The following is a 13,055-nucleotide window of genomic DNA, read 5'->3' on the forward strand; positions in this document are numbered from 1 at the left end:
TGAAAGGACTTCCTCCACTGGTGCTGTGTGTAATCATTCCTGCTGAGATACGGATTTGGAGGAGGGTTTGATAAACCGAAGAGCGTAAACTCACTATTTCATTGTCACGTTGTGACAAATGCATACCTTCTACACTAAAAGCTAGATCTGAAGCCACAAAATTAGAATTCCATTTCATATTTCTCAATATAGAATACATGGTTAATCCATGGATCCATGTGGTAAAGAAATCAGAGTGGAGAGTAAATATTTTCTATCATAAAGTACCGAATAAGCATATTTATATCTTAATTTTGTGGATGATTGAAATGCATTTTCTCGCCTATGTGTCTCTCTTTTTTAATTTCTTCATTAATTTAATACATATATTCTGAGCACCTACTATGTGCTACACAGTGTTTAGGGCTCTGGAGAGATACCATTTAAGCAAAAGTCTTCACTCACATAGGGCTTACATTCCGTAGCACACAATGAAAACCAAACACGTAAAAATGCTAATGTAATCAGCTAAATGCTGATACACTCTCTGAAGAAAGCCTAAGGAGGCAGCAGCTTCATGGAGAAGGCAGCATTGGAGCAGTCCCCCGGAAGAAATAAAGGGCCTGAGCCATATGGGCTTCCAGGGGAAGAGTATTCCAGGCAGGAATCACAGCAGGTGCAAAGGCCCTGTGGTGAGAGCATGCACAGCATGTTTAAGTAGGAGTAAGAAGGTCAGTGTCATGCAGCAGATTGAGTGAGGCGGTAGCATGATGGGAAGTTGGGAGATCAGGTTGGATTAATAAATGGGCAAGAGCAGCAGATGATGCAGTCACTTGCCACTGAATGGACCTTGTCTTTTACTCCAAGTGAGAAAGAAAACTGCTGAACAGGTTTGAGCGGAGGACTAACATGTGCATATGTTACAACCACCTCCCCATGGTTGCTATGATGAGAATAGATGCTGGAGCAATAAAACTCTCTTCAATAATGTAAATGTTTTATATCTGTCCTGTCCTATAATGTTGCCACTAGCCCCAGGTGGCCAATGACCACTTGCAATGTGGTGAGTGCAACTGAACAGTTGAATGCTTAATTTCCTTTAATTTAAATTAAACTGAAATATATACAACTCCATGTACCTAGCAGCTATGATATTGGACCATACAGCCTTAGAGGGAGAGAGGCTGATGATGTGACCAGTTGGGCTATGAAAATATAAGTGAGAAATGAGGTTTACCTGGATTCGCGGGAGGGAGCTGAGGATGTGGTGAGAAGTCACCATATTTCAGATGCATTTTGACAGCACAGCAAAAAGGATTCTGAACAGAGAAGAGAGAAAGGATTCCTGTGAGATTTCTAGCCCAGTGGTAGGAGGGATAGAATTGCGATTTTCTGAGCTAGGGAAGATGAGGGAAGGAGTAGTTTGGCTGAGAGAAGATAGATCAGGAATTTGCATCTGAACCTGGTATATTTGGGCTTCCTGGTGAGCATGGCATGGAGCTGTCAATAAGTCAGTTGCAGGTACCTATCTATAGAGTTAAATGGGAAGGTCCTCGCTGCAGAAGTAAGAGTTTCAAAACTGATATTTAAAGACACAAGACTAGACACAAGACTAGGACAAATGCCTAATGCATGCAGAGCTTAAAACCTAGATGATGGGTTGATAGGTGCAGCAAACCACCATGGCACATGTATACCTATGTAACAAACCTGCACGTTCTACACATGTATCCCATAACTTAAAGTAAAATTTTAAAAAATTAAAAAAAATTAAAAATGAAGACACAAGACTAGATGAATCCACCTAGGGAATGGGAGTGTAAAGAAAATAGAAGTGTTTGGCAACTGAGTTCTATGGCACGCCCATGTCTAGAGATCTGGGTGATGCAGAGCATTGAGTAAATGAGGATGAAGTAGACATCCAGAAGGTGAGAACAGGCAGCAGGTCATCGTGCTGTTGAGCCTCATTGGGGAAAGCCATGAGCTGGCCACTGATGTCATAACAAGGCTCATCCAGTAATTCTGGGGAGAACTGTATGGGCAGGATGGTGGAATGAAAGCTTGACTGGATAGAATGTCAAGAAGAGAATAGAGGACAGCAAAGGGGACAGCAGTGGTCAGCAAGTGCAAGGACTATTGCTGTAAATGGGACAGAGAGAAGCAGGAGGGTGTGTCTGTAAGCATGAATGGCCTGCTCTGCTCCTCCAGTACTGGGCTGGGTGCCAGGGTCAATTCTAGATAGATAAATCAACCCTTCCTTCTTTCGTTCTTGCTTTTCCTCACTCCTTTCTTTCCTGGCCCTTGAGAGAACTAAACAAAGTAGCTTCTTCAGAGGAATCCCCTCCTCTGTGCTGACCTGGCAGGTGACCTGCACACCCCACTTTGTCCTTGCATGTCACCCCTCTATCCTTTTTCCTTTGACTATGGGCTTCTCATGAGCCGAACCACCCACTCTCATCTCTATGTAGCAAACTGCAGAGAATATAGTTGGTGCTTATCAAATGTTAGCCAAGGCAATGTTTGTCAAAATGAAAAAGACACAATTCCTTGTCTTTGAGTTGCTCAGGCCACATGGGGAAAGGCAGGAGAGGCAGTTTACAAACTGCTAATGGCACCCAGCATGAGAGGGGCTCTGAAGGGAGGGGGGAAAGAATGTACCAGAAGCAGGTCAGTGAATAACTCTGAGTCAGGGGAGGAAGAAAGTGCTAAATTTCCTAAAAGTGAGCATAGATCCTTCGCCATGCTGAGAAAATCCTCCTGGCTGGGTCATTGGGGAAGGTTTGGTGAGCAAGGTGGGGTCTTAACTGGGACCTAGAGAAGTAAGCCCTAATTTCTCTCGGGACCAGTTTCCCTCCAGCCCTTAGCAGGACACTCCTATGGTCCTACTGTGCATGACTGGCACGCAGCTCACAACCCATGAGGCTCAGCAAATAACTCAGCCAGGACTGGTGTCATGGGCCTGTGACCCGTGCAGTCACACCGGACCCCATGGTTTGATGCTCTGTGGTCACCAGGGTGACATTATTCACACTTTGTGAACAAGGGGTCCTAAAATTCCTCTTGAGCTAGTCCCTCCAGGTATATACCCAGTTCTGTGGGTCTTTAATCTATTCACTGAGATGAGTCCATGGAGATGCACCTGGATATCTGTGCCATGTGAAGTTGCTATAAAAATTTCTAAATGGTTACTCTTAATTTCTGCACTTTTCTCTTCATGAATTAGTAGCTTTTGCACAGGTATGCAGGACTGAAGACCACATGTAGAGTATGTTGCCCTGAAAGATAGTTGTGAATTGGGAAGGACAGCTCTACCAGGCTGAGGGGACAGGGCTTATCCGCTCAGACAATTTAGTCATATATAAAAATGTGTGTGTATGTGTGTGTGTGTGTGTGAGAGAGAGAGAGAGAGAGTGAGAGAGAGATGAAAATAGAGAGAGCCAGAGAAACTTCCTTGTGCCTTGGTCAAGGAAACAATGAATGTAAGGTCTCTATGTTATTCTTAAGAGGAAAAGGGACGCATCTTCTTTGTGATGCTCAGGGGACCAGCATAATGCCATTTCTAACAATAAATGCATCTCCGTGCCAGTTCATAAACTTTTCCATACCCATTACAATAATCTTTATAATCCTTCCAGCAATGTGTATGAAACATGAGTAAACCTCGGGCCCATTTTCCTGGTAAGAAAACTGAATCCCATAAGGTTTACTGAGTTGACCCAGGTCACCGGAAGCCAGGCCCTGCGATTCCAGTGCCTAGGACTCAGTCTCTATTTGTTGAGTGAATAGATATTCCAAATGTGAGAATGATTTTTTTTCTCTCCATTTCTTTCTGTGAGTGAGCAAGCTTTCATTTTAGCAGGAGCCAGAAAGGTGAATGGTTTTGTGGAATTCTTTCTATAAAGAATTTATGAAGATGAAGGCTCTGAGGACCAGGCCTGTGTTTGCTGGAGTCGGGAGCACAGGGATGCATGGCCAGCCCTTCTTGCCAGCTCGCTGTATATTTACCTGAATCTGAGCTCCAGCTAAAACCCTTGTGCTTGGAGACAGAGTAAAGGGTTTTCTCCTTCTCCGCCTTTAATGTCACGCTCCCTTTAAGCAAGTGCAGCTGCACAAAGTTAGACCCTCCTGGTACTGTCTTCTGAAGTCCAAGGCTGGTGCAGGATTCTGAGTTTCAACATGGAGTTTATTTCTGCTTAAAGGCAACCCTCAAACCCAGTCATTTATAGGACAAAATGCACTCTGAGACTTGTTGCTTTAAATAAACCTGTTTAACCAACCAATGTTGCTCCTGCCACAGACATTTTGCATAGGAATTGTAGTGCCAAGGGGGAGTTTAATTAAAAGCTAACAATTTCCAGGCCTGGAGTTGGCATGTGGAGCCCCCTCTGAGTCTGGAGGTGAGAATCCTACTGTCGGCTTGTGTGCAAAGCGCGTGCGGCAGAGGCTCAGGCAGAAAGGTGGTCCTTTGAACTGGTGCCCGGAGGGCTGGATGCTGCCCTGCTCTTGGGGCAGAAGGCTCCTCTGGCTTTGAAGAGTTGCTCACCATGTTAGTGAAAGGTTCTTCGTTTTCAGAACAAACTTTATTGGGTGATGCTGTGTGTGCCAGGGAAAGGTGTGAGAGGTGGGGACAAAAAACACAGGGATTATGGCATTCATTTATTCACTCCTTTATTTCTTCAACATATATTCAGCCATGACCATGTCAGCAGCCTTGCACTCAGAGCATCTCACCACTGGTTACCTGTGCACTGTCATTATGGTTTGAATTGTGCTTTCTGAAAGATCTCGAGGTCCTAACCCCCAGTACTGGTGAATGAATGTGACCTTCTTTGGAAATAGGGTCTTTGAAGATAATCAGGTTAAGGTGAGGCCCTTAGGATGGGTCCTAATCCAACATGGCTGGAGTCCTTCTAAAGAGACACAGAGATACACACACAAAAAATTGAATATCATGTGAATTGAACATGAAGGTAGAGATCAGGGTGATGCTTCTACAAGCCAAGGAATGCCAAAGACAGCCAGCCAACCAACAAACACCAAACAGGTTCCAGCAGCCTCAGAAGAAGCCAATTCAGAAGGAGGCTGATCTTTGATCTCAGGTAGAGGGGAATAAAAGCATCTCACAGTGCTCACAGAGGCACAATCTCAGCCTCTCTAATCTGGCCCACCCTCCATAGATTTTTTTTTCCCAGCAGCCCTTTCCAAGTCATGGGTTACCAGCCCTATGAATTCCATTAAAGTCACTAATTTTAAGCTCCCTAAGTCCAAAATGTGCTCTCACTTAAAAGGCAGAACAAGAGTAATAATACCTGTGAACGCACCTTGGCTAAAAGGCAACATTAGGATTTGTACAGAAAAGAGCACATATTTGTCTTGTCTTCTAGCTGATATGTTACCTAAAGACAGTGAAGTGTATTTATATTTGTTGTGCCCAAATCTGGAAAATTGTATAAAAGGATATTAGTACAATGTTAGTTGTGCTAAGTGACAACTAAAATTAAAATTAATTATAAGCCCCCCCAACACCCCCCCAACTTACTGAATGGGCTCCCTCTTGGCCAAGGGAATCCCAAAGGAACCTTAAAAACTAAGTTCCAGCCATGGCAGGAGGGGAGATCAGACATGCCTCATTATACCCACTCTTGCCATTTAGGCACAACTATTGACCAGTATTAATGTTAAAATAGAGACCATAACCCTGACAGAATGGACTCTTTGTGGCAAAAAGGCACCAAATTAGAAACAAGACTGAAGGCCATGCCAGGCAAGCGTTGAGTCACATACCCCTATGCTTAAAGAATAAACTATGTTCTAATGGCCACAAATGTTTCTTTTTCTTTAGCAGCTAAACAAGTACTGGACTCGAGATAAGCAATATTAAAACAATGGCGTCCTTCCACCTCCAGACATGAACTGACCCCCTGTTCCACAACCCAGCTTTGATTGGACAAAGAGACTGATTTTGATAACTTTCTCCGGATAAGAGACCACCCACCATGGACTGGTTCTGGTCAGTTACAGAGGGTGTGCACTAAGCATCCTTATGTCTCTCCTTCACTTTTTGACATACAGTGCCTAATTTCAATGAATTTAAATGTTAAGCCTCCACACCAAAGTCAACATGAGGTGAATGTAATATGCATGCTTGCTCAGTACACATGCATCAGGACTCCCTTCACGAATATTCATAGCTCCTCCCATTACCTGTTGCATATGTATGTTTATCCAACCTATTCAGCATAAAGCTCCTTCTACAATCCCTCCTCCTTCTAAGTGCCTGATAACAGTCTCTGCCAGAGGCTATGCTTTTCATCCTGTCAGAATAGCCACCTTGAACGTTACAAGCTTTTATAAGAAATAAAGTCTCCTTGCTAAATTTATATTTGTTTGGCTTTTCAAGTGAACGTGTCCAAGGTTAAACAGCAATTTCAGGATAGAGCCAAGTGTAGGGTCTATGTCCTCTACATGCTGGTGGGCCACTTCTCCAACCTGCAGCACCATCTGATCTGTGTTCAGAATTACAGTAATATCAGAGATGTTTCCTAGAATTCACTGCTGGAAGGAGATGAAGGAGGAAGAAAGCCAGGCACTGCTCTTAACTTTGACAAATAGTAGTTTTACACCCAGGAAGGGTCATTTATTTTAGAACCTTCATTTCCACAACTGGGAGGCAATTCCATGGTCTTGGACATTCCAAAGCTTTCTCCAAATATCTTGAAGTTCCCAAGGCTTTGTTCCTTGTGCTCTGAATTCAAAACACTGTGTCCTTTGTGCCCTCTTCCACTTCACTCCAGATGCACATTGCACATCTTTTTTTTTTTTTTTTTTTTTTTTTGAGACAGTTTTGCTCTGTCACCCCGGCTGGAGTGCAATCGCATTATCTCAGCTCACTGCAACCTCCGCCTCCCGGGCTCAAGTGATTCTCCTGCCTCAGCCTCCCGAGTAGCTGGGATTACAGGCATGCACCACCACGCCTGGCTAATTTTGTATTTTTAGTAGAGACATGGTTTCACATGTTGGCCAGGCTGGTCTCGAACTCCTGACCTCAGATTATCTGCCCACCTCTGCCTCCCAAAGTGCTGGGATTACAGGCGTGAGCCACTGTGCCCGGCCTCCAGATGCACATTTCAACCTCACAATATGTCTCGAAACCAACCACTCCTTACTGCCTTCATTGCTAACATGTTCATCCAGGGGTACCATAACTCCTGCCTTGACTATTGCAATAGGCTCCATCTAAGTAGTCCCCCTTCTTCCATATCAGCCTGGTCTGATCATCACAGAGCACCTAAAGTGACAGTGTACTAGTTTAAGTCAGGTCACACTCAAACTCTCCATCTTTGTTTGTGCCACTGTAATGAAATAGCACAGACTGGGAAATTTATAAAGAACAGAAATTATTTCTCACAGTTCTAGAGGCTGGGAAGTCCAAGATCAACCTACTGGCAAGTTCAGAGTCTGGTGGGGGCTGCTCTCTGCTTCCAAGATGGTGCCTTGAATGCTGTATCCTCCAGATGGGAAGAATGCTGTGCCCTCACTTGGCAGAAGGTGGAGGGGACAATAAGAATCAAACATTCTCTGTGAAGCCCTTTTATAACAGTATTAATTCATTTATGAGGGTGGAGCCCTCATGAGCTAAACACTTCTCAAAAAGCCCCACCTCCCAATACTGTTGCATTAGGGATTAAGTTTCCAACAACTGAGTTTTGGGGAGCACATTCCCAAACATAGCACCCTCTAAGAGCTTCCCAATTCACTCACCTTAGAATGAACCTGGAGAGCTGACAGCATCTAACTTGTTTCTTCCTCTCTGACTGTGTTTCTCCCTTTCTCATTCTGCTTCAACCACATTGACTTCCATGAAGTTTCTCAAACACTCAAGCACGTTTCTCCCCAGGGTTTTGGCTTTTTTGTTGTCCCTGTATGGAATGTTCTTACCTCAATAACCAAGAGTTCCTTTCTTTTCTTCTTTAGAGTGCCCACACAAATGCCACTTAACTGGGGAGGCCACCCTCCACTAAAGGATACCAAACAGCAGCCCCTCCCCAATGCTCTTGTCTCTCTTGCTTTACTTTGTTTTTTTATATATACTGTAAATTCATTTATTTACTCCCTTCTTTCCCTCATAAGAATGTGAGCTCCTTGAAGGCAAGGACTTTGCTTTACTTTATCAACAAAACTCTGTATTGGTTCCTCACACAGTAGTATTTTGTGATTAGTTTACATGAGACCTCAGTTAGCCAGGCTATTTTATTATCCAGAAAAATATCTGTTGAGCCAGACTAGATATTCATGGTTACACTTAGTGTTAGGAATACTCTCCAAGGACAGGTACATTCAGCCTTGGATCTGTCTTAATTTCTATGTTTAAAAGGTTGAGATCACCATCAGCTGCAGGGGCATGGTTGGTTTGCATTCATTATCAGACTATTGGTCAGTGGGTTTAGCTGTCCACGGATTATTGGTCTGGAGCCTCTAAGGCCCAGCTGGGACCCAGTCAGACTTAATCGGCCCTGCCCTTACGGAACCTTCAAAGATCACTTCTTTTTCTATTTTAGCATTTATCTTAATCAAGTTTTTACCGTATTTGTTATAAAAATAACTAACTATAGTCAAATATGCTTATGTGCCAGAAATTTGCAAAGCATTTTATATGCATTTATTTTTAAAAAATACAGTTGAATCTTGAACAATGCAAAAGTTAGGGGCACCTGCCATGTTCGCAGTCAAAAACTCACATATAACTTTTCACTCCCCCAAAACTTAACTATTAATAGCCGACTGTTGACTGGCGCCTTATCGGTAACATAAACAGTCAATTAATACATCATTTTTATGTTATATGTATTATACATTGTATTCTTACAATAAAGTAAGCTAAAGAAAAGATAATATTATTAAGAAAATCACAAGGAATAGACAATACATTTACAGTACTGTGCTGTATTTATTTTCTACTATAAGTTTATGTCATCTGTTTTCAAGGTAAATCTTCTGTCTGAAACAGTGGGCAACTGCAGTTGCAGACCTCAATCTACAATAAGTATCAAGCAATTAAACTTTTTCTTGTAAAGTTATGACTTTTGTCTGCTGCTTGGAAGCATTTCTGGCATCATTAGTGGCACTTTGTATGGGTTCCAGGTGTTATTCCAGGTTTACAATATTGCACTGAAAGAAAAATATGCAAGAACCATGAGCAATCACTTTTTACTGCTATCCGCAATTTACTGGAGAGAGGAACTGCCCACATGGAAGTGATGCCAGTCACATGGCATGTAAGCTGATACAACATGTGAGCTCCCCACAATAGCAACAGGAGGTGGCTACAAAGTTATTACCATAGAACTGTATATACTTTCTTTCTTTTTTTTTTTCTTTTGAGACGGAATCTCACTCTGTCACCCAGGCTGGAATGCAGTGGAGCGATCTCGGCTCACTGCAACCTCTGCCTCCTGGGTTCAAGCAATTCTCCTGCCTCATCCTTCCTAGTAGCTGGGACTACAGGCGTCTGCCACCATGCCTGGCTAATTTTTGTACTTTTAGTAGAGACGGGGTTTCACCATGTTGGCCAGGCTGGTCTCAAACTCCTGACCTCAGATAATCTGCCCACCTTGGCCTCCCAAACTGCTGGGATTACAGGGGTGAGCCACTGTGCCCAGCCAGTATGTATTATTTTACGCAGTTGATTTTTTGCAGTTATGATTTAATACTGCATCTATATGTTTGTTTATATTTCTTTTCAATGTGAATGGTGTCAAGTACAGTCTTTAAGTGTTTGTATTAAGTTTTGATAAACTTTAACTTTTTGTAATAGATTGGTGTGAGTTATATAGTAGTAAATGATAAAATACACTAGTATCTACATATATTTTGTGCATTTATCACATGCCTAACTTTTTTCTAATTTTTCTACATTCTAGGCTATGAGTTTTATCTGTAAGTTTTATCAAATTGCCAAAAATCTCCAAAATATTTTTGATATGTATATATATTTTATTCCTATAAAATAAATATGTATTTTATAATATATATTATTCCTATAATTATAATATTTTAATATAATTTTAATCCACATATAAGAAGACCCTCACAGTTCAAATCCAAGTTGTTCAAGGGTCAAGCTGTTCACTAACCAAGTGTCCAGGCACTGAACACACATCTGTCAACAGACTCCTGAATGACAATTTCTCATTTGTTTCTTCCAATGATATCTTGCTTTCTATCACCCGTATTTTATAGATGAGAACACTGATGTTCCAAGAGGCTAAATAAATTGCCCAGCCTCACACAGTTGAGACTTGAAGCCCTGTCTGCCTATTTGATGTCTTCTCTACATATTGCTCTGCACGTCTTCCTCCTGTACGATGATGTCTCTCTGCAGCCAGTGATGATGCTTAGACCATGCTGCACCCTCAGCTGGTTAACTAGCTGAATTTCCAAAATGAGAAAAAAAGAGCCCTGGGAAGAGAGGAGGGGAATGGGTTCATAACCACTTTCACTAAGAAAGGAAGGTAGGAGAAGGCAAAAACGTTATCAAGAATAGGAGTTAGAAAACATTAAAATGAAAACTCTCTCTACCCTGGTGACCTGTGTGACCCTGTGCTCATGATGAAACAGGAATTACAGGAAAAAAAATAATCTCACCCACTGCAAGAGCTAAAATATAGCACTGGGGTTGATTCCAGAAAACAGCTGCTTGAATAAACTCTGTGGATGTACTGCAGGAACCTTCTGTCTGTATCTAATTTCCACACCCTTGTGGATTTCTAGCCAGTCTAAGTTGGCAGCCCAGAAATCCAAGTTTTGCTGTGTGCCTGCTATTTAATACCTAGTCTGTTCCCAGCTGTGTTCTTCAGACCTGCAAAAACTGAGCAAAATTTCAAAGACGTAGACCAGGAAAAAAACCTACATCTAGCCCTGCCATGTCTTGGGCACTGTGATAGTTTGTTTTGTGCTGCTATAAGAGAACACCTGAGACTGTTTATGTTATGAACAGAAACTTGTGGGCTCATGGTTTTGGAGGCTTAGAAATCCAGATTGTGGAGCTGGCCTTCGGTGAGGGCCTTCTTGCTGCATCATAGCATGGTGGGAGATGAGAGCTTGAGAAAAAGAGACAGAGCAGGAGGGGGAGAATCACTCACTTCCTCAAAAAGGACATTAGTCCTTTCATGATGATGGAACCTCAGGGTCTAAACACCTCTGAAAGATCCCACCTCTCAATACCATTACGATGGCAATTCCATTTGAACATAAGTTTTAAAATGGACAAGGACTGAAACCATAGCAGGCACATGCATGTTGGAGCAATGGAATAAGAACTAGAGGACTGGGTTTAATCCATAGTTCTACTATCTACAAACTACCTGACTCTATTATTCTGTTCTTGTATTGCTGCAAGGAAATACCCAAGACTAGGTAATTTATAAGAGGCTTCATTGGCTCAAGGTTCTTCAGGCTGTACAGGAAGCATAATGCTGACATCTGCTTCTGGCGAGACCTCAGGAACTCCCAATCATGGTGGAAGGTAGAGGGAGAGCAGGCATGTCACATGGCAAAAGCAGAAGCAAGAGGGGAAGGGGGGTGGTGCTACACACTTTTAAACAACCCGATCTCAGGAGAACTCACTCATTATCTTGAGAACAGTACTAAAAGGATGGAACTAAGCCATTCATGAGAAATATGCCCCCATGATCCAGTCACCGCCCACCAGGCCCCACCTCCAATACTGGGGATTACATTTCAATGTGAGATTTGGGCAGGGACATACATTCAAACTATATTTGTGACCTTGTGCAATTGACATCTTCCCTGGGCCTTAACTCCTTAATTTCCTAAAGGAACAATTCTATTACTCAGGACTTCCGTAAGGGCAAAATGAGGTAATGTGCGTCAAAGTCCATTTTGAAACCTCCAGGAAATTTCTCCTGCAAATATAGCTAACCGCTGTTCTCGGCTTCTTGTTTATCTTGTACATTTCTCAGGACTGTATTTCTGCACATACCACACTGCTTTATAAAGGCCAAGAGATAGATGACCAAGATCACCTGTTCCTGGCACGGTGCAGGCACTGCAGAGATGCATAGGCTTGTGTTTCCCTAGATGCTCCCAGTCTAGTGTAAGAAATCCAGGTGCACATGGAGATATTATTAAAGCAAGGGCTGCTTGCTCTTAGAGATGGAGAAACAGGCTGGGTGCCGTGGCTCATGCCTGTAATCCCAGCACTTTGGGAGGCCGAGGTGGGTGGATCACTTGAGGTTAGGAGTTGGAGACCAGCTTGGGCAACATGGTGAAAGTCTTGTCTCTATTAAAAATATAAAAATTAGCCTGTCGTGGTGGTGGGCACCTGTAATCCCAGCTACTCGGGAGGCTGAGACAGGAGAATTGCTTGAACCCAGGAAACAGAGTTTTCAGTGAGCCACGACAGGGCAAAAAACAAACAAACAAACAACAACAACGACAAAAACAGTGATTGGCAAAAGTCAAGAACCCAGGAGAATAATTCCCTCTTCCTGAAACAGTCATAAAAGGTGTTTCAGACCTAAAGGAAGGGATACACGAGCTCCAAGGGCCTCGAGGGTTTAGTTATAGATGCCAGGCTGAGAAACAAACAAAAAGGGGCTGCTGAGATCACAAACAAACAAAAAGGTGGAGCATGATAATTTTTCTCAAGGAGCTGCATTTGAGTTAAGTCTGGAAGGATGAAGAAACTTTGCATTAGGAAGCAAAACACTGCATTTCTAACTGAAGAGTGAGAGTAAATTGTTGGAAGAGGATACAAGAGGGATTCAGGGTCCAGATCAGACAGGGTTAAAGGACATGCTGAATAGCTTGGATTTCTTTTCTACAGAGGATCTGTTCTTATTGGAGGGAAGTGAAGGGTGGTAATCTGTGCTTCATGAGGACAACGTGGGCTCATTGTAGAAGGAATAGAGCTTTGAGATAGCCACGTCAGGCAGAACAGTGATGACGTTTGACCCTATTGCATATCCAGAAGTAAGTAAATGACTTCCCTGTGTGCAGATTTATACAAGATGGCTCTTTACCTGCTTTATTTATGTATGTAATTTGCTCAGCAC

Source organism: Homo sapiens, chromosome 14 (genome assembly GCF_000001405.40).
Source record: "Homo sapiens chromosome 14, GRCh38.p14 Primary Assembly".
Taxonomy (NCBI): Eukaryota; Metazoa; Chordata; class Mammalia; order Primates; family Hominidae; genus Homo; species Homo sapiens.